At 41.5% G+C, this 21838-nt stretch overlaps 1 protein-coding gene and 1 pseudogene across 4 annotated transcripts in view; both read right to left on the bottom strand.

Moving 5' to 3' along the window:
* The window catches only part of SNTB2 (syntrophin beta 2), a 121889-nt gene that overhangs the window by 34809 nt on the left and 65242 nt on the right, over positions 1-21838 (bottom strand). For 3 of the 4 annotated variants that reach the window (NR_172088.1, NR_172089.1, NM_006750.4), the window contains 2 exons: positions 13984-14194; positions 3959-4101 (listed from right to left, as the gene is read on the bottom strand). Coding sequence is in view for 1 of the 4 variants with exons in the window: in NM_006750.4 (NP_006741.1) it covers positions 3959-4101; positions 13984-14194 (354 nt within the window). In the remaining 3 variants the exon portion in view is untranslated. The remainder of the gene's footprint in view (positions 1-3958; positions 4102-13983; positions 14195-21838) is intronic. The other variant, NR_172090.1, reaches the window with a different exon arrangement.
* LOC100421641 (zinc finger CCHC-type and RNA binding motif containing 1 pseudogene) lies at positions 9297-10110 on the bottom strand (annotated as a pseudogene).

Here is a 21838-nt window from a genome sequence, read left to right as displayed (position 1 = left end):
GCCTCTGGGGTTCAATCGATTCTTCTGCCTTAGCTTCCCAAGTAGCTGGGATTACGGGCATATGCCACCACGCTGGGCTAATTTTTGTATTTTTAGTAGAGACGAGGTTTCTCCATGTTGGTCAGGCTGGTCTTGAACTCCTGACCTCGTGATCCGCCAGCCTCGGCCTCCCAAAGTGCTGGGATTATAGGCGTGAACCACTGCACCTGGCCTAATTATTATGCTTTTTACAAAGAATTCTTCTTGGGCATAATTTTCATTTAATAATAAATATTATAATTAAAGCAGCTAACACTTGAGCAGTTACAATGTGTCAGGCACCATTCTAGGCAGTTTATTAGTATTAACTCATTTAATACTAACACCCACCCTATCTCATTAGGGTGCACTTAACAAATGAAAAATATGTGGCACAGAAAGTTTCAGTAGCATGCTATCGCTTACTTAGTATAACATTCAGTTTATTAGGAATCAGTCTTAGTCTCTCTTTTCAATCTTGTTGGGTTTAATTATTTTATTTAAATAACTGAATTATTAAAATATAAAACACACCATACAATTTATCCCTTGAAGTACAGTGGTCTTTAGTATATTCAGAATTTTGCAACCATCACCACATTCAATTTTAGCAGACTGTCATCATCTCAAAAAGAAATCCTGTACCCATTAGCTCCCCCGCCGGCAACCACTAATCTACCTTCTGTCTATCCTGGGTTTGCCTATCCTGAACTTTCCATATAAATGGAAAAATACAGTATGTGGTTGTTTCTGTCTGGCTTCTTTCACTTAGCATAATGTTTTCAAGATTCATCTACACTGCAGAATGTATCAGAACATTATTGTTTTTAACTGCAGAATAGTATTCCACTGTGTGGATATGTCACACTTTATCCATTCATCAGTTGATGGACACTTAGGTTGTTTCCACTCTTTGGCTATTGTGAATAATGCTATTATGAACAGTCACGTATGTTTTGATGTGGACATAAGTTTTCGTTACTCTTAGGCATAACTTAGGAATGGAATTGTGGGTCACAGGGTGACTCTATGTTTAGCTTTTGAGAAACTGCCAGACTGCCTTGCACAGCAAGTATACATTTCACATTCTCACCAGCAGTGTATGAAGATTCCATTTTCTCCACGTCGTTGTTCACACTTTTTATTTTATCTGTCTTTTTAATTATAGCCATCCCAGTGGGTGGGAAATGATATCTCACTGTGGTTTTGATTTGCATTTCCCTGATGGCTAAGGATGCTGAACATCTTCTCATGTTCCTATTGGCCATTTGTATATCTTCTTTGGACAAGTATCTATTCATATCATTTTCCCATTTCTTTTTTTTTTTTTTTTTTTGAGACAGAGTCTGGCTCTGTCGCCCAGGCTGGAGTGCAGTGGTGAGATATCAGTTCACTGCAACCTCCATCTCTGGGTTCAAGCACTTCTCCTGTCTCAGCCTCCCAAGTAGCTGGGATTATAGTCCATACCACCATGCCTGGCTAATTTTTATATTTTTAGTAGGGACGGGGTTTCACCATGTTGGTCAGGCTGGTCTCGAGCTCCTGACCTCAGGTGATCAACCTGCCTTGGCCTCCCAAAGTGTTGTGATTACAGGCGTGAGCCACTGCGCCCAGCCCCATTTCTTAATTGGGTAATCTTTTCATTACTGACTTGGAATAATTATCTCTTTTTTTTTTTTTTTTTTTGAGACAGAGTCTCACTCTGTCACCCAGGCTGGAGTGCCGTGGTGCAATCTCAGCTCACAGCAACCTCTGCCTCCCATATCCAGGCAATTCTTCTGCCTCAGCCTCCCGAGTAGCTGGGATTACAGGTGTGCAACACCACACTGGCTAATTTTTATATTTTTAGTAGAGATGGGATTTCACCATGTTGGTCAGGCTGGTCTTGAACTCCTGACCTCAGATGATAGGCCTGCCTCGGTCTCCCAAAGTGCTAGGATTACAGATGTAAGCCACCATGCCTGGCCAAGAATTCTTTATATTTCTAGATACAAGTCTCGTCAGATATATGATTTTCAAATATTTTCTCCCATTCTGTGAGTTATTTTTTCACTTTCTTGATGGTGACATTTGAAGCACAAGAGCTTTTAAGTTTCTGAAAGTCCAATTTATCTATTTTTTCTCTTGTTAACTGTGCTTTTGGTATCATATCTGAGAAGACTCTGCCTAACCCAAAGTCATGAAGATCTACTATATTTTATTCTACGAGTTTTATAGTTTTAGCTCTTAAATCTTGTCTGTATCTTTTCCCTACTTGCAAATTAATACCACTGATAGTACATACACCACCCCATCTCCATCTTTAGTACCAAAGTGCTTTGGTGGTCCATGCCTAATCTACTCTATAGCCAAGAAATTATTTGCTTATGGCATTATAATTTCTAGTATTAAACAAAAGCTCTTCTACGGAACGTGGTAAATTTCTGCTTCATGCTTCCAGGTGCACACATTTTAAAAAAGAATAAAGCTACCCTCCTTGCATTCTATGATCAGAACCAAAGTGTAAGCTGATTCTACAAAATTTAAACTTAAGAGATCTCCACAGCCATATTCCTAAATTCTAAATCTTGGAAAATATAAATTTAATTGTTCTAATTATAATTACTAAGACATGGTTACATATTTTTGTAGGATTACTGTCAAGTTCCTAATGTAACCATGACAGAGAAACTATAACTTAAGTAAATAATTTAATTCAACTAAGATTTATTGATGGCCTACTACACGCAAAGCATTGTGGGAAGTGCTGAGATGACTAAGTCAGAGTTCTTGACTGCAAGGAGGTTATAATTTAGTGGGGATTTAAAAAACCAAATATTAAGAAATTTACAAAAAACAATAGTGTATATCTTATTTTTTTAAAAGAGAAACATAATTAAATTCAGTCTTTCTGCAGGACTATTCTGTCCTGAAGGAATTAATGAGGACACACCTCCCTAATACTGAGGCTCACCAAATCCTTTACTTCATTCTGTGATCTAGGAGCTCCAGCTCTAAATTACGGAGATACTACTGGAAGGCCATGTGAAAAATATATTTTTTATAAAAAGAATAATATATGTAAAGGAAGAATAATATATGTGGCAAGTTAAAGGAAATCTTTTAAAGTGAAACTTTTCCAGTAATGCAAAGAATACTCTGCCTTACATGAATCTTTGTCTCCTCAAAGCAGGAAATCCCCACTATTCCCACTGGGATATTCCAGATAGTTTCATCATTTAGCTCTTTTGACTACTAAATACTTTTCCATGGCGCTCTTCTTTAATGTGTAGTTTTTGAGTTATATCAACACCTGATTCTTTTGTTAAGTCCAAAAAAATTTGAATTTGGATATGTTTTCTAGTTTCACAGTTATGATCCCTTAAAACACCTTGGCTCCCAAGTCTAAATTTCTCTATTCTTTTCCCTTTCAGCCCTCCATATCTGGAATGCTAGAAACACCCTGTGGCTTCAGGTCAAATCAATGTTTATTTCATAGAATCAAAATGATGTGTTCTTACATTAGAAAGAGAAGTTGAAGAATATTTTGGCTGAGTTAAGTGGTTTATCCACAGTACCACATTCTGGTTTAAATGATTTCGTCACTCAGTCAAAAGGCTGCCACAATTTCAGTGGTTTTCTAGTCACAGTCAATAAAATAAAGAAAAAAAAACCCTATAATCTTCATGACTAAGCAAGTCTTGTAAGGGAACAGTTAGGAAGTTCCTTGACAACTTAAAAGGTACACACAAAAACGCTCATTATAAAAACAATTTATTCTGAGCTAGGAGCTGCAAAATTATCAATAAGGTTGTAAAACAAAAAATTTTTGTCTGCATCAACTATATCCGCTACTTAAATGCTCTTTTAGGCACCTAAGATAACAGAATTCACTTTAAAATTCTTTTGTAGATTTAGAGTAGGATAAATATTTTACTTCCTTATCTTTAGTCTTACTTACCTGGTGGCAACAAGTGGGTAGCTGTGGCATGGTGACGCCCAGGCATCTCTTGTCCACGGCATACAGTCATAGAGCAGCAAATCCTTCTCAGTCACAGCCATGAGGACAGGTCTCCATTGCTGTCTTCCACCATCTAGTTTTGCCTGTTACAATGGAAAAATTCAGAAATCAGGGCTAACTATAATCACGTCTTTGTAAAAGTTCCTTCAATGATGGCCTAACACAATGGGTCTCCATTTTGTTTTCCCAACCTGATGGACTTTACATTCAGGAAACATCTCACCAAGTTTACACTGGTAGGGACTCTCCACCGGGAGGTGTGAAGTGGTGTGTGTATTAGAGCTATAAACATTATCTAGTGATACAACATAGTTTTTCCCCATTCCATAATAACTGAACATTGCCAATTCTGTTTTTTCTTTTTTTGAGATAGGGTCTCACTTGGCTTCCCAAAGTGCTGGGATTACAGGCGTGAGCCACACGTCTGGCCAATATTGTCAATTCTGATTAAATATATAGTAATATGTTCAAAATTGTAAGTTTCAGAATGTCTGATGTGTAATATCTTCTAAACATAGGACAGAAACTCCTACTACCAAATAAGTATGTATAATCTAAACATCAAAGTTTTTGATCAAGACTTACAATAATAGAGTTTACATTGCAACCCAATATATACATACATAGATAGTTGAATAAAATATTTTCCAAATAACACAACTCTCTTATTTTGTGCAATGTAATCTGTTAACATCTATCTTTTTTTTTTTCTGAGACAGTCTTGCTCTGTCGCCAAGCTGGAGTGCAGCGGGACAATCGCGGCTCACTGCAACCTTCACCTCCTGGTTTCAAGCAATTCTCCTGCCTCAGCCTCCCGAGTAGCTGGGACTACAGGTGTACGCCACCACGCCCAGCTAACTTTTGTATTTTTAGTAGAGATGGGGTTTCACCATGTTGGCCGGGATGGTCTCGATCTCCTGACCTCATGATCCGCCTGCCTTGGCCTCCCAAAGTGCTAGGATTACAGGCATGAGCCACCATGCCTGGCCCATCTATCGTATTTTTTAAAACGCGGATCACGGTTCACTATGTTGTATTTTTTTTTTTCTTCTTTTTGAGACGGAGTTTCGCTCTTGTTGCCCAGGCTGGAGTGCAATGGTGCGATCTCGGCTTACTGCAGTCTCAGCCTCCCGGGTTCAAGTGATTCTCCTGCCTCAGCCTCCCGAGTAGCTGGGATTATAGGCATGTGCCACCACACCCAGTTAATTTTGTATTTTTAGTAGAGACGAGGTTTCTCCATGTTGGTCAGGCTGGTCTCAAACTCCTGATCTTAGATGATCCGCCCACCTTGGCCTCCCAAAGTGTTGGGATTACAGGCGTGAGCCACTGCACTAGACCCACAGTGTTATTATTTTTTTTTTGAGATGGAGTCTTGCTCTGTTGCCCAGGCTGGAGGGCAGCGGCGCGATTTCTGCTTACTGCAACCTCTGCCTCCCAGGTTCAAGCAATTCTCCTGCCTCAGCCTCCCGAGGAGCTGGGACAATAGGTGCATGCTGCCACGCCCAGCTAATTTTTTGTATTTTAGTAGAGACGGGGTTTCACTGTATTGCCCAGGCTGGCCTCGAACTCCTGGGCTCAGGCAATCCACCCGCCTCGGTCTCCCAGAGTGCTAGGATTACAGGCGTGAGCCAACGCGCCTGGCCTCACTGTGCTGTATTTTTTAAAAATTGTATTAACCCAGAACTTAGCAGCTTAAGAAAACACTTAAACTATGTTCCAAGAGTTCTCCATTGTATTTTATTTATTATTATTATTGTGTTTTTAGACAGAGTCTTGCTCTGTCACCCAGGCTGGAGTGCAATGTCACGATCTTGGTTCACTGCAACCTCCACCTCCCAGGTTCAAGCAATTCTCCTGCCTCAGCCTCCCAACTACCTGAGATTACAGGCACCCACCACCATGCCCAGCTAATTTTTGTATTTTTAGTAAAGACAGCGTTTCACCATGTTGGCCATACTGGTCTCGAACTCTTGACCTCAGGTGATCCACCCACCTCAGCCTCCCAAAGTGCTGGGATTACAAGTGTGAGCCACTGCGCCCGGCCCATTGTATTTTAGAAGTTTATGTTTCAGCTTAGAAGGTACCATTGAATTTACTTGTATAATGCTCAGTTATCTCTAAAAAGGTTTTAAACTTCAAGAAAACAACTACTATTTATCCATATTGTCAAGGATCCAAGGCCAAAAAGCCAAAGACTATATTCAAGAAAAGCCCTGTCATCATCAAAACTTTTCCCTCCTCAGGAGACATTTGAGCAAGGACTGTTCAACAACACTGCATTTTAACACTGATCCTTCAGCTCAGCATCACTGACAGCTTCAAGGAGAATTCAAATTGATGAATCACTTATCGGTTAGAGTGTTGCCTTCAGAGCCCTTTTCACGTGTTTTCCTTAAAGACTTCTGAAGGTAATCTGGACATGACAGAGAACCTTACATCTATAATCTGAAAGTGGCATGTGTGGTTTGGTTCTGTGCTATAACATCTACCACTGGGACGCTCTTCTCTTAGCCAAGGCCACGAGCTAGATCCCCAAAGTGGGAAATTAATTCTAGCCAGTGAAGGGACCAGTGCTCTACCATGTGCTGAAAGCAAAAAAAACAAAACCTAACTCTGAGAATTCAAGCAAAATACTGTAGAAAGAATTATGCATTTCTTATCAGTGAACCTGAGTTTTCCAAGACTATATTAGTCTATGGTTAACTCTCCAATGTCTGGAAGGACAATATCAGCTCTAAAGAGGTTCTCTTAGACTCATACATTTTTGGATCACAGATATCCCAAAAAAATTTCAAGTTTATGTTCACTACTAGGTATTTGTCCCCAAGATTATTACAGACAATATTTCAATAGGTTATATCATATAAAACTCTGTCTTCCCAAAGGGTTAAAATGATAAACTGATTTTGGGCCAGGCATGGTAGCTCACGCCTGTAATCCCAACACTTGGGGAGGCCAAGTCAGGCGGATGAAGAGATCAGGAGATCAAGACCATCCTGGCCAACATGGTGAAACCCCATCTCTACAAAAATTAGCTGGGCATGGTGGCACGCGCCTGTAGTCCCAGCTACTCAGAAGGCTGAGGCAGGAGAATCGCTTGAACCCGGGAGGCAGAGGTTGCAGTGAGCTGAGACTGCGCCACTGCACTCCAGCCTGGAAACAGAGCGAGACTCTGTCTTAAAAAAAAAAAAAAAAGATAAACTGATTTTTAAAAGTAAATGTTTTACTGGCTGGGTGTGGTGGCTCACACTTATAATCTTGACACTTTGGGAGGCCCAAGTGGGCAGATCACTTGAGCCTGGGCAACATGCTAAAACCCCATCTCCACAAAAAATACGAAAATCAGCCAGGCATGATGGTGTGCATCTGTAGTCCCAGCGACTCAGGAGACTGAGGTGGGAGGATCACTTCAGCCCAGAAGGTGGAAGTTGCAGTGAGCTGAGATTGTACTACTGTACTCCAGCCTGGGCAACAGAGTGAGACCCTGTTTCATAAATAAAATAAAGTAAACAAATAAATAATTTTTCCCCTTAAGTTATAAGAGAGAGATTTTTGAAGGCTAGAGTATAAGCATTTGGAAAACCTAAATTAAATGTATTTCTTTCCAAAGAAGGTATTTTGAGCCCTAAAGGAAAAATGCTAATGCCAATAGGAGCAATGTTCAATTTCAAGAAAGAGACCTTTGTTTAACACGTTTCTCAAAGTGTTTACTCTTTTAACTCTTTCAAGTCCTTAGTTTTTAGAGAATATCTTTTCCCTCTTCTACTTACCATTGGAAAAAAAAATGAAAACTAAGTTTAATCATTCTGATTGCCTATTTGCCTTAACTTTTTTTTGTTTTGTTTTGTTTTGTTTTGTTTTTACAATAGACTCTCACTCTGTTGCCCAGGCTGGAGGACAATGGCCCCATCTCGGATCACTGCAACCTCCATCTCCCAGGTTGAAGCGATTCTCCTGCCTAACCCTCTTGAGTAGCCGGGATTACAGGCGTCCGCCACCATGCCCGGCTAATTTTGTATTTTTAGTAGAGATGGGGTTTAGCCATGTTGGCCAGGCTGGTCTCGAACTCCTGACTTCAGGTGATCCACCCACCTCAGCCTCCCAAAGTGCTGGGATTCTAGGTATGAGCCACCACACCTGGCCTTGCCTTAACTTTTAAGGATACTGTTTGCTTTCAGTGAAGTCAAATGCTGTCTGCTCTATATAGTATGTGTTTTTTGGTTATGGTATCAGCATAAGCAGCCTTGGGGATCCCACCATTGAGTTTCTGGCCAGAGACAAAAGGGATACGAATGTTAGGGCTTTAGTTTGCTTGTGTTTGAACACCTACACATGCACAAACCTGGCCAAACTACAGCTTTCTCCAAATTTTATTTCTTTTTTTTTTTTTTTTTTCTTTGGCACGGAGACTCACCCTGTCACCTAGGCTGGAGTGCAATGGTGCAATCTCGGCTCACTGCAACCTCTGCCTCCCAGGTTCAAACAATTCTCCTGCCTCAGCCTCCTGAGTAGCTGGGATTACAGGTGCCCGCCACCACGTCCAGCTAAGTTTTGTATTTTTAGTAGAGACGGGGTTTCACCATGCTGGCCAGGCTGGTCTCAAACTCCTGACCTCGTGATACGCCTGCCTTGGCCTCCCAAAGTGCTGGGATTACAGGTGTGAGCCACCACTCCGGGCCTCCAAATTTTATTTCTAATAAACAGAGGTGGATAGCACTAAAGATGAGAAAATACTAATAGTTATTATTCATTTCCCAAATCCCTTAATCCCTTTTTCACAGGCAATGTACTTCTGGTTCTTTATTTTATTATCACACTAAAAAATGGAGAGCAAAAAGTAAATAACTAATTACACTAACACCAATTGAATGTATATGGTCCTAACTTGAGTCTTTATGCACTTTGAGAGTTAAAAGGCATAAAGTAGTGACTGTTAAAATAAACCTTTTCCTTGGTTGTCTTGCCTTTTCTTTTCTTTTGACAGAGTCTCGCTTTGTTGCCCAGGCTGGAGTGCAGTGGCGCGATCTCGGCTCACTGCAAGCTCCGCCTCCTGGGTTCACGCCATTCTCCTGCCTCAGCCTCCCCAGTAGCTGGGAGTACAGGCGCCCGCCACCACACCCAGCTAATTTTTTGTATTTTTAGTAGAGACAAGGTTTCACCATGTTAGACAGGATGGTCTTGATCTCCCGACCTTGTGATCCACCCGCCTCGGCCTCCCAAAGTGCTGGGATTACAGGCATGAGCCACCGTGCCCGGCCAATAGATGTAATTTTAATCGTAATCACTTAAGTTCTTCCTTATCACTGAAATATGTGCTCTTCTTTATTCTTGAACGTCTTGAATCATCTGATGTTGAGGGACCTCCTGAACTGGATTTTCTTTTTTTCTTCTTTTCTTCTTTCTCAGTTTTGGCTTGCTGGAATGCTGTGGCATAAGGCTGTCAAAGAGTAGGATTCTCCCCTTAATCTTCTCTGTCTTCTACTTCTTCAGTTTCTTCTACTGGTTCAGGAACTTTCTTTTTTTTCTTTCTTCTTTGGAGGTTCACGTACTTCAAGCATATTTTTCGGACAGGCGTAACTTAGGTGTCCACTTTTCCCACAAACATAACACTTAGATTCATCAAAGTAGTTCTGCCTTTGGGTGAACTCGGCTGCTCTTCTGTTGTCAATAGTGATGCTTGCTTTTATCACTCTACCAAATAACCGTTGTTTATTGCCCTAGTACTGTTTTGTGCAGAGTATTTTATCCAAAAATAAAATAAATGCAACCTCTTTACTCTTCCTGGTATCTTTATATTTCATTATAGTAACCTTTACAACTTTGCCATGCTTGGAAAATATGCAGTATATGTCATTATTTGTCAGGGAATGGGCGAGGTGGATACATGCTCTGTGCTTTTACTTGGAGCCAACTCACCACTCATGTCTTCAGGTAGGGCAGACCCAGGAGACCAGAAGAGCGAGAGCCCTCGGCTTAGCTGGGGCTAAACCCTGACTTTTTTGCCCCTCACAATGGCCTTGGCATCACAGGTCCTGGGAAGGGTCAGGTGCAGAGACAAGATAGTAGCAGCAGCAGTGCCTCTTCGCGACTGTGGGAGACCCAGGCCTGGGCATTAATGAGAAAAGCCAAAGGCCAGGTACAGTGGCTCATGCCTGTAATCCCAGCTTTTGGGAGGCGGGAGAGAGGAACGCTTGAGCCCAGGAATTCAAGACCAGCCTAGGTAACAAAGTGAGACCCCATCTCTACACAAAAAATTTTTTTTTTGGGAGGCGGAGCTTGCAGTGAGCCGAGATTGCGCCACTGCAACAGAGTGAGACTCTGGGCAACAGAGTGAGACTCTGCCTCAAAAAAAAAAAAATTACATTTATTTTGTATATATCACTAAAATAAAAAAGTCTTGGCATACAAAGTTAAAAAAATACTCAAATGCTTAAAAAAACTCATTTAATAGATAATACATGTCCTCCATTTGGTGGACTCAAAAAAATTTCCTTTTAAAAATATAACCAGCAGGGTGCGGTGGCTCACTCCTGTAATCCCAGCACTTTGGGAGGCCAAGGCAGGTGGATCACTTGAGGTCAGGAGTTCAAGACCAGCCTGACCAACATGGTGAAACCCCATCTCTACTAAAAATACAAAATTAGCTGAGCATGGTGGCGCACACCTGTAATCCCAGCTACTTAAGAGGCTGAGGCATGAGAATTGCTTGAACCTGGGAGGCGGAGATAGTAGTGAGCCAAGATTGTATCATTGCACCCCAGCCTGGGCAACAAGAGCGAAACTCCGTCTCAAAAAAAAAAAAAAAGAACATACCCAGGCTGGGCACAGTGGCTCATGCCTGTAATCCCAGCACTTTGGGAGGCTAAGGTGGGAAGATCACCTGGGCCCAGGAGTTTGAGACCAGCCTGGGCAACACAGTGAGATCCTATCTCTACAAAAAATAATTTTAAAATTAGCTTGGTGTGGTGGTATGTGCCTATAGTCCTAGCTACTCAGGATACTGAAGTGGGAGGACTGCTTGGGCCCAGGAGGTTGAGGCTGCACTGAGCCATGATTATACCACTGCACTCCAGCTCAGGTGAAAGAATGAGACCCTGTCTCAAAAAAAAAAAAAAAAGTAGAGTGGAATGGTAGTTCCTAGAGGCTGAGGTAAGGGGTAGATGGGGAAAGTGAGATGTTGGTCAAATGGTACAAAGTTTCAATTAAACAGGATGAATAAATTCTGGTAATCTTTTGCATAGTATGGTGACTATAGTTAATAATAATGTATTGGCCGGATCCCAGCACTTTGGGAGGCTGAGGCGGGTGGATGACCTGAGGTCAAGAGTTCAACACCAGCCTGGCCAACATGGTGAAGCCCCATCTCTACTAAAATACAAAAATTAGCTGGGTGTGGTGGCATGTGCCTGTAATCCCAGCTACTCGGGAGGCTGAGGCAGGGGAATCGCTTGAACTTGGGAGGCAGAGGTTGCAGTGAGCTGAGATCGCACCACTCCACTCCAGCCTGGGCGACAGAGTGAGACCTCATTTCAAAAAAAAAATTGTATATTTCAAAATACATTAAAATAAAAAATTTTAAATGTTTTTACCACAAGAATGATAAATATTTGAGGTGATGGATATGTTAATTAGCCTGATTTGAGCATTCCACAATGTATACACGTATCAAAACATTATACCGTATCCCATAAATATACATAATTATTTGCCAATTAAAAAAAACAACACTATGAACATGGAAATTAAACAAAACAAACAAAAAACCAAAAACCAATATAACCAGTTAAACGGTAAAATCAGTCACATAAAAATTAGTATCAACAACCCGGGAGGCCGAGCTTGCAGTGAGCCAAGATCGCGCCACCGCACTCCAGCCTGGCTGACACAGCGAGACTCCATTTCCAAAAAAAAAAAGCAACAAAAAAGAAATATCCCCTACCCTCTGAACTCTCACTATCCAAACTTAGGAACTGATGTGAACCTTTGGATAAATCCCTTACTAACCAAAGCTTTACTATTTACTGTCAGAAACTTAAGAACTGAATATATGCAGATAATGTTGATATCCTTATCTGGTCTACCTGGACATACGAGCCAAAGGATCTGGACAGTGCATGTGTGAAAGGACACAGGTGCATGCCACCACACCCAGCTCATTTTTTTGTATTTTTACATTTTTTGTAGAGATGGGGTTTTGCCATATTGCCCAGGTTGGTCTCAAGCTCCTGGTCTTGAGCGATTCTCCCACCTCAGCCTCCCAAAGTGCTGGTTTTACAGGTATGAGCCACCACACCCTGCCTCATATTTTCTTTTTATTTGCATAAAGAAACTCTCAAAAGATTCAATAGAAAGGAATAAGAGTTGTTACCTTTCCAGGGCAAAAGGCATAACAGGTGGATAGGTAACGGGAATGAGGGCAAGAGTTTTCACCCATTAATTTTTTGTTTGATTTTTCAACCATGTGAACGTGCTACCTTTTTAAAATCATGAGGATTTTGAACAATGCCAAAAGCACAGAACAATTACTATTCAATTCAGTTTTTCAACTAGCATATAAAATATAGAAACAATGATAAACACAACTAAAATGTTAAAATTTTCAAAGTCATAAGTACTTATATCATGACTTTCATTAATTTTTTATTCTAATTATGCTTTATAGAAATGATCACTGTACTAATATTACATTCTCATTTATTATAATTTTATTTGAAATGTTCATAAAAAGTTGAGAAGTGGCAAAAAATAAAATAAAAAAATTACTCTCGCTGGTGACCAAAATTGGCCCCTCAATTACCACAATTACTTGGTACCACCAAGATCACCAGGCACCACCCACAGACCTACCACATCAGAACTGCTTTGGGGACAATATCCTCCTCAAATAAAATCAACCTCAACTTAAAAAAAAAAAAAGTTAGAACTATGTTGGGGAGGAAGGTGGGAACCAGTGGGAAACTGTACTTGAAAAAAAAAAATCAAAAATGAAAGAACAAAATCCTTCCTGTGCTGATTCTGCTTTTTTGGAAACCAGTTATTTAGTCCACTCCCTGGCCCTTTGCACACACAACTAGGATTCAAAACGTAAGTTTCGAAAAGACTCAAAAGCAGTGAAAAACAGAGCTAGCACTTAAACACTCATCTCTGAACCCCCTAGTCCAGTCCTTTTTTTTCAAGCCCCTCTAGCCTAGTTGATGGTGAAGAAAAAAGATGTAACATAATGTCACACGGAACTTTTACTCTCCTTTTGTCAAACCTGGGATCTAAAATAACCTGGGTTTTCAAGTTCTTTTCCTTTAACTCAACATCCACTCAGACTTTCTTGTTTCTCTTTTTTTCACTTTTCAGTTATGGAAGACAATTGTACCTCTGTCTAATTGTAAAGTATTTTGTATATTTTATACTTTTCCCAGAGCAGAGGAATCAACTATAGCCTGCTGCCCCTAGAAGCTCTTCCAGTAGGGAACAAGGGTTGGGAAACTATGACACTTGGGCCAGATCCAGCCAACCACCAGTTTACTTGTCTTTGTAAATAAAGTTTTACTGAAACGCAGTCACACCCATTCATTTTCCTATTGCCTATGACAGTTGTCTTGCTACAACAGAAGAGTCAAGTAGCCGTGACGCTATCTTGCCCTTTACAGAAAAAGTTAGCTGACCCTGATCTAAAATCATGAAAATTATCCTCTGTCATTAAGGACAGAGATGGTAATAAGAACTTCTTTAGTAATAGTATGATAGTGATTACTATGTCAGCTACTTCTGGTTGAGTGGATAATTAGCAACAAATAGACAAAGGTAGAAGGAGAAAAAGGGAGGTGAAACAAAACACTGAAAAACAAAAGATCTGCAAGCTAGATATCCAGGTCCTAACTGCATGGTAAGTATTACAGATATATTAAATGAGGAACCATCCTGGCACTGAATGGGAACCAGGTGATACTCTGCCCTGCCTCCCAGCCTACCTGTTCTGCCAGCCAGGCAATATGCTTCACCTCTTTACTGCCTCCTGCTGTACTGGTTGCCCCAAGCATGGCGTTGAGTTCAGCCAACACCTGTGGGAGGAGAGCCATTATGTTGGTGTGGATAGCTACGAACCAGGAGTGTGCTGTGGCTGTATCTTTGCAGCGTAGGATCAACGTGTTCCTGCTATCAGGAGAATGTAGCTCTATCAATCTGTGTGGAAAAAGAAAAAAAAAAAAGTGAGCTAGGACAGAAGTCACCAAACCTGCCAGGTTTAAAATACATAACTGCAAATCTATTTTAATTTTGCATTCTTCAAATAAATTTGTATACTCAAATAAAGATACTTTCTTGGCTGGGCACGGTGGCTCATGCCTGTAATACTAGCACTTTGGGAGGCCAAGGCAGGGGGATTGCCTGAGCTCAGGAGTTCGAGACCAGCCTGGGCAACACGGTGAAACTCTGTCTCTGCTAATATATAAAAAATTAGCCGGACATGGTGGTGGGTGCCTGTAATCCCAGCTACTCAGGAAGCTGAGGCTAAGGCAGGAGAATCGCTTGACCCCAGGAGGCGGAGGTTGCAGTGAGCCAAGATCACACCACTGTACTCCAGCCTGGGCGACAGAGCGAGATTCCGTCTCAAAAAAAAAAAAAAAAAAAGATACTTTCTCTTAATTCCCTAGAGTCCAGTTCCAAAGAAAACAACACATGGAAAGATAAAAATCAGAGGCCGGGCACGGTGGCTCACTCCGGTAATCTCAGCACTTTGGGAGGCCAAGGCGGGCAGATTGCCTGAGGTCAGGAGTTTGAGGCCAGTCTGGCCAACACAGTGAAACCTTGACTCTACCAAAAATACAAAAAATTTAGCCGGGCGTTGGGGCGTGTGCCTGTAATCCCAGCTACTCGGGAGGCTGAGGCAGGGGAACTGCCTGAACCAGGGAGGTGGAGGTTGCAGTGAGCCGAGATCCAGCCTAGGTGACAGAGCGAAACTCTGTCTCAAAAAAAAAAAAAAAAAAAAAAAAAAAATCAGAAAGACCAACTTGGGCTAGTTACTGAACCTGAGAAAAAATTAAAAAAAGAAACACCAACTGCTGGATCTGTCGTTTCGGTGTTAATGTAATAAGCTGAGGGAACTTACTGTAGAGTCTACAGTAGATCACTTTGCCTTAATTTCTATGTCTAAAAAATGAAAAGCATGCTTGCTGAACCACATAGGCACACTGTAAAGAAGGAACTGATACCCTTTTAAGCATTTAGGAAATTCTGGTATAAAGTAGTGCCAGCTTAAAAAGATGTACTGCCATATAATGAACTGAAATTTACATTATGTGAAATAAATAGAAAATTAGCGGCCAGGCATGGTGGCTCACGCTTGTAATCTCAGCACTTTGGGAGGCTGAGATGGGCAGATCACCTCAGGTCAGGAGTTTGAGACCAGCCTGGCCAACATGGCTAAACCCTGTCTCTACTAAAATATACAAAAATTAGCCAGGCGTGATGGCACATGCCTGTAATCCCAGCTACTGAGGAGGCTGAGGCAGGAGAATTGCTTGAACCCAGGAGCTGGAGGTTGCAGTGAGCCAAGATTGCACCACTGCACTCCAGCCTGGGCGACAAAGCGAGACTCCCTCTCAAAAAAAAAAAAAAAAAAAAAAAAGAAAGAACAAGAAAATTAGCAGAAGATTATTACTCTGTAAAATTTGAAACTGTGTTTGGGTACTTTTATATGATTACTCCTCCAGTGAATTAGGTAGAAAAATAGTTAAGAGATCAACACTATAACTGTTCTGTATTAATGCTCACCAAGAGCAATCTGTATTTCAAAAGTAACCTTTAGAAAATAGCTAAAATATTTTAAATATACATTGAAAAAATTATTTATAAAGCAATCTATTGAATATTGTTTTGTGTTTCAATCAAAGTTCTTGCAAAGATGAATTTTAAAAGTCAAATAAATAAATAAATGACTAAGATATATACTCTGCTGTGAACATATATATCTTTTAAAATGGAAAAAAAAAGCCTTTAGTGTTTTTCATGGTAGGCTACAAATTGACAAACTGCCAATGACCAGGGAGAGAGTTTTCTTTACATTATTTTCTGAAGACAGTTTTTGCTGCCTAAAAGCACTATCATCAGATTCTATGCCACTTGTCAAAAAGATAAGCAATTTACAAGTATACTAGCATTTCTGCTTTGAAGCTCTTTTGTCAGTTTCTAAACCCTTTATAACTCCAAATACTTTAAATTGTCATATTTTGTATTGCAAATATTCATTTTCATTTGAATTCTGGTTGGTCTATCCTTTCTTAAATAAACATTTATTGAGCACCTACTACATGCCAAATATTGTGCTAGGCACTGGTATTGGAGATACAGTGATGAAAAAAGTAGATCATCTAGCTACTTCCAGGCCTACCTACCAGTCTATCCATCTTTTATATGCTGTCAAAGTTCTATGGTAACAGCAAAATAGGACAAAAGTTCTAGAAAATAGAAGACATAAAATAAGAGTTGTGGCTGGGCGCGGTGGCTTACGCCTGTAATCCCAGCACTTTGGGAGGCCGAGGCAGGTGGATAACAAGGTCAGCAGATCGAAACCATCCTGGCTAACATGGTGAAACCCCGTCTCTATTAAAAACACAAAAAATTAGCCGGGCGTGGTGGTGGGCGCCTGTAGTCCCAGCTACTCGGGAGGCTGAGGCAGAAGAATGGCATGAACCCGGAGGCGGAGCTTGCAGTGAGCCGAGATCATGCCACTGCACTCCAGCCTGGGCAGCAGAGCAAGACTCCGTCTCAAGAAAATAAATAAATAAATAAATAAATAAATAAATAAATAAATAAATAAGAGTCATGAACAGCCAAAGGGCTTAAGAAAAGTCCATATTTGAAAGTTCATGTTACTCAGAGGAAAACTTTCAGATAAAAAGTTTTAAGCTATTTGCTTTTTATTTAGATACAGTTCTGATGAGCTCTTTGATTTCCTATTCTATACCTAAACATATTAAGACATAGCTTGGTTCCAGAATTTAGAGGATCTTGAATAGCAGGTTAGGTCTGAATATTAATTGGTAACTTTTTTTTTTTTTTTTTGAGATGGAGTCTCGCTCTTCGCCCAGGCTGGAGTACAGTGGCACGATCTCAGCTCACTGAAACCTCTGACTGCCGGGTTCAAGCGATTCTCCTGCCTCAGCCTCCCAAGTAGCTGGGATTACAGGTACATGCCACCAAGCCTGGCTAATTTTTTGTATTTTTAGTAGAGACAGGGTTTCACCATGTTGGCCAGGCTGGTCTCGAACTCCTGACCTCAAGTGATCCGCCTGCCTCGGTCTCCCAAAGTGCTGGTATTACAGGCGTGAGCCACTGTGCCTGGCCTTAATTGGTAACTATTAATAACATAGAATCATTTAGAATTCTCAACAGGAGGGCAACATGATCAAAACAATTAACTTAAAAAATAATTTTATGAGACATTTGTACACCCATGTTTATAGCAGCATCATTCACAATAGCCAAAAGGTGGAAGCAACCCAAATGTCCATCAATGGAGGAACAGATAAACAAAATGCAGTATATACATATAATGGCATTATTCAGCCTTAATAAGGAAAGAAATCCTAACACATGTTACAACATGCATCAACATTGAGGATATTATACTAGTAAAATAAGCCAGTCACGAAAGAAGAAATAACATATGAGCCTACTTTCATGAAGTATCTAGAGCAAACTCACAGAAAGCAGAATGGTAAGTGCCAGGAGCTGAAGGAAGGGTGAAATGGGGAGTTTTTCAATGAGTAGAGTATTTTAGTTTTGCAAGAAGAAAAATTTCTGGACATTGGTTGTACAAAAATATGAATATACTTAACACTTCTGACCTGTACACTTAAAAATGATTAAGAAATTTCATGTTATGTGTATTTTACAATTTAAAAAAAATTAGGCCAAGTACAGTGACTCATGCCTGTAATCCCAACACTTTGGGGAGGCTGAGGCGGGGAAATCACTTGAAGCCAGGAGTTTGAGACCAGCCTAGGCAACAAAGTGAGAACCCATCTCTACAAAACTTTTTTTTTTGAGACGGAGTTTCGCTCTTTCACCCAGGCTGGAGTGCAGTGGCCCGATCTTGGCTCACTGCAACCTCTGCTTTCTGGTTTCAAGCGATTCTCCTGCCTCAGCCTCCCGAGTAGCTGGGACTACAGGCGCCGGCCACCACGCATGGCTAGTTTTTGTACTTTTAGTAGAGACGGGGTTTCACTATGTTGGCCAGGCTGGTCTCGAACTCCTGACCTCATGATCCGCCCGCCTCAGCTTCCCAAAGTGCTGGGATTACAGGCGTGAGCCACTGCGTCGCCCCCCACCCCAACCAATTTTTTTTTTTTTTTGAGACAGAGTTTACCTCTTGTTGCCCGGGCTGGAGTGCAATGGCGCGGTCTCAGCTCACTGCAACCTCCACCTCCTGGTTTAAGCGATTCTCCTGCCTCAGCCTCCCCAGCTGGGATTACAGGGAAGTGCCACCAAGCCTGGCTAGTTTTTGTATCTTTAGTAGAGTGGGGGATTCACCATGTTGGTCAGGCTGGTCTGAAATTCCTGACCTCAGGTGATCCACCCGCCTCAGCCTCCCAAAGTATTGGGATTATAGGTATGAACCATCGTGCCCAGCCCCAACAAAAAATTTTTCTTTCTTTCTTTTTTTTTTTTTTAAGACGGAGTCTGGCTCTTTCGCCCAGGCTGGAGTGCAGTGTCGTGATCTCGGCTCACTGCAAGCTCCGCCTCCCAGGTTCACGCCATTCTTTTGCCTCAGCCTCTCGAGTAGTTGTGACTACAGGCACCACCACCATGCCAGGCTAATTTTTTGTATTTTTAGTAGATACGGGGTTTCACCATGTTAGCCAGATGGTTTCGATCTCCTGACCTCGTGATCCGCCCACCTTGGCCTCCCAAAGTGCTGGGGTTACAGGCGTGAGCCACTGTGCACGGCCCTCAAATTTTTTTTTATCAGCCAGGCATGGTGACATACATCTGCAGTCCTAGCTACTAGCGAGGCTGAGGCGGGAAGATCTCTTGAGCACAGGAGTTCGAGGCTAGAGTGAGCTATGATAGTACCACTGTACTCCAGCCTGGGTGACAGAGCGAGATCCTGTCTCTAAAAAATAAATAAATAAAATAAAAATAATAATAAAATAATTTTATGGTGGGATGTGAGATGAATTACAATAAAGACAGAAATGGCCTGGTGAGATTTAATTGAATGCAAGAAGAATGAGACTACACACAGAAGTCATCAGTAGGGACACAGATTACTGGGCAGAAATTCTTCCATCCTAAGAGCCCATTGCAGCCTTGACCATACAGGTCTCAAGTGATCCTCCCACCTCAGCCTCCCAGTTAACTGGGACTACCACAGATGTGCACCACCACACCCAACTACTTTAAAAAAAAATTTTTTGTAGAGACAGGGTCTCACTATGTTGCCAGGCTGGTCTTGAACTCCTGGGCTCAAGTGACCCTCCTGCCCTGGCCTCCTAAAGTGCTAGGATTATAGGCATGAGCCACTGTGCTTGGTCCCTCTGTATATTTGGGATACCAGTCCTTTATTGGATATGTATTTTGTAAAGATTTCTTCCCAATGTGTGGCTTGTCTTTTCATTCTCTTCAGTGTCTTTTGCAGGGCTGAAGTTTTAAATTTTAAAGAGGTTCAACTTGTCAAGTTTTTTCTTTATGGATTGTGCTTTTGGGGTTGTATGTAAGAAGTCACCACCAAACTTAAAGGGGATTTTTTAAAAAGCATAATCTTACAAATCCAAGAACAGGAGAGGAGTGACTACAACAAAATTTTGGAAGCTAGTAAAGAGAGGAGTTAAATGACTTAGCTGATTTAAGAAAAGTGGAAAGAGCCAAATCCCAGCCAATCCATGTTGGAGAATCCCTAAGAGGCCGGGGAAGCGGTGGTACCAGTTACCTCTGGAAGTGAGAGTAAAGCATGCAGCTTTACTCTGCGTGGTATGCCTGAAAGCCTGTCAGCATTCTCCACATCCAGTGGCCAGTGACTGCCCCACCCTCATTCTAGCAGAAGATTCAGAATCACCCTCATCCCACCAAACTGGGTGGGGGAGGCAATGATGTCCTTATTTCAGATCGTATATCAGGCTGACTATTTTCTAGAGGGACTATTTATTTCCATCTAGTTGCTTTGGCACTGTAACCAGTATAACATCTTTTAAGCACATGCTAAAAGTTCAGCTGCAAAACCTTGACCAGAAATTTCCTTCACTCCTCCTACTGACCTACTTAGCACTACAGATAGGAATCAGTTCATCCTTCTCGAGGCACAGAATGTTCACCTTCTGAAAGTCTTTACACATCATACAATTCCTAGGACAATCTCTCAGACATTCCTCCTTTGACACAGTCTGAGTTCTGAAAATCCTGATGTCTCAGATCCTAGTTATTAATAACTGGGAGAATGGAAAATAAATCTGTTATAAAATAAAACTAAGCCTGATTAAACACAAGTAGATACCGGGACCACTGGGCTGAAAAAAGATGAGAATAGATAGTGAGTTATTTCCCACTGACAGTTAAACAGCTTTTTTGTTTTTGTTTTTGTTTTTGAGACAGAGTCTTGCTCTGTCGCCCAGGCTGGAGTGCAGTGGCACAATCTTGGCTCAATGCAAGCTCCGCCTCCTGGGTTCACGCCATTCTCCTGCCTCAGCCTCCCGAGTAGCTGGGACTACAGGCGCCCGCCACCACGCCCGGCTAATTTTTTGTATTTTTAGTAGAGATGGGGTTTCACCATGTTAACCAGGATGGTCTCGATCTCCTGACCTCGTGATCCACCCGCCTCGGTCTCCCAAAGTGCTGGGATTACAGGTGTGAGGCACCACGCCCGGCCAGTTAACCAGTTTTTTATGAAAAGAAAAATTTTGCGATTTTTCTTGAAAAGGGATTGTGAAATAGAAAATTAAATTAAAAGAAACAGCAAAGAAGCTCCAAAATAGGACCGATGAGTCTAGGATCCAAAAGAGTCCACCTTTGAAGAAACCATTAAAACTGACAAAGGGGGCCAGGTGTGGTGGCTCACGCCTGTAATCCCAGCACTTTGGGAGGCCAAGGTGGGTGGATCACGAGGTCAGGAGATCGAGACCATCCTAGCTAACACAGTGAAACCCCATCTCTACTAAAAATACAAAAAATTAGCTGGGCGTGGTGGCAGGCGCCTGCAGTCCCAGCTACTTGGGAGGCTGAGGCAGGAGAATGGCGTGAACCCGGGAGGTGGAGCTTGCAGTGAGCCAAGATCGTGCCACTGCACTCCTGCCTGGGCGACAAAGACTCCATCTCAAAAAAAAAAAAAAAAAACTGACAAAGGGGACAAAGTAATTTGTAAAGCCTACTGCTATTTTAAAAGAAAATTCCAATGAAAACTTTGCTAATAAAAATATGGAGACAATCTGCCAGTAATCATTTGGGTCCACAAGGGAGAAGAGGAGACAGCTATGTGTGAAGTTTTGGCCTCTTGTCAAACGAGAGGATTTTCTGAGAAATGCAATTAACATTTTGATCAGATGAATCAAATCAATGTTTAGGTACACAGGATTCTGTAAGTCTAGCTTACTTTACTTCTCCTGTTTAGCAAAGCCTTTGATATAACTTATGTGTTCAACTTAGTAATAATCATATAATTGTACACATTATAAAGGCAAAATTTACCTTTTACATGGAAAATTGCCAATGTGAAGATGACTGAGGCACTGTGAACCAATGCAAAGAACACGGATTTACATTTCCGAAAGGAGTGTTTAAGAACACCTTGTTCTTCCTAAACTTCACACTGCCTACAATACTGATTGCTAAGGA

This window comes from Homo sapiens, chromosome 16, assembly GCF_000001405.40.
Source record: "Homo sapiens chromosome 16, GRCh38.p14 Primary Assembly".
In the NCBI taxonomy this organism is placed as follows: domain Eukaryota; kingdom Metazoa; phylum Chordata; class Mammalia; order Primates; family Hominidae; genus Homo; species Homo sapiens.
Note: the sequence above shows the minus strand (reverse complement) of the source record. Positions and strands in the feature narration are given on the sequence as shown.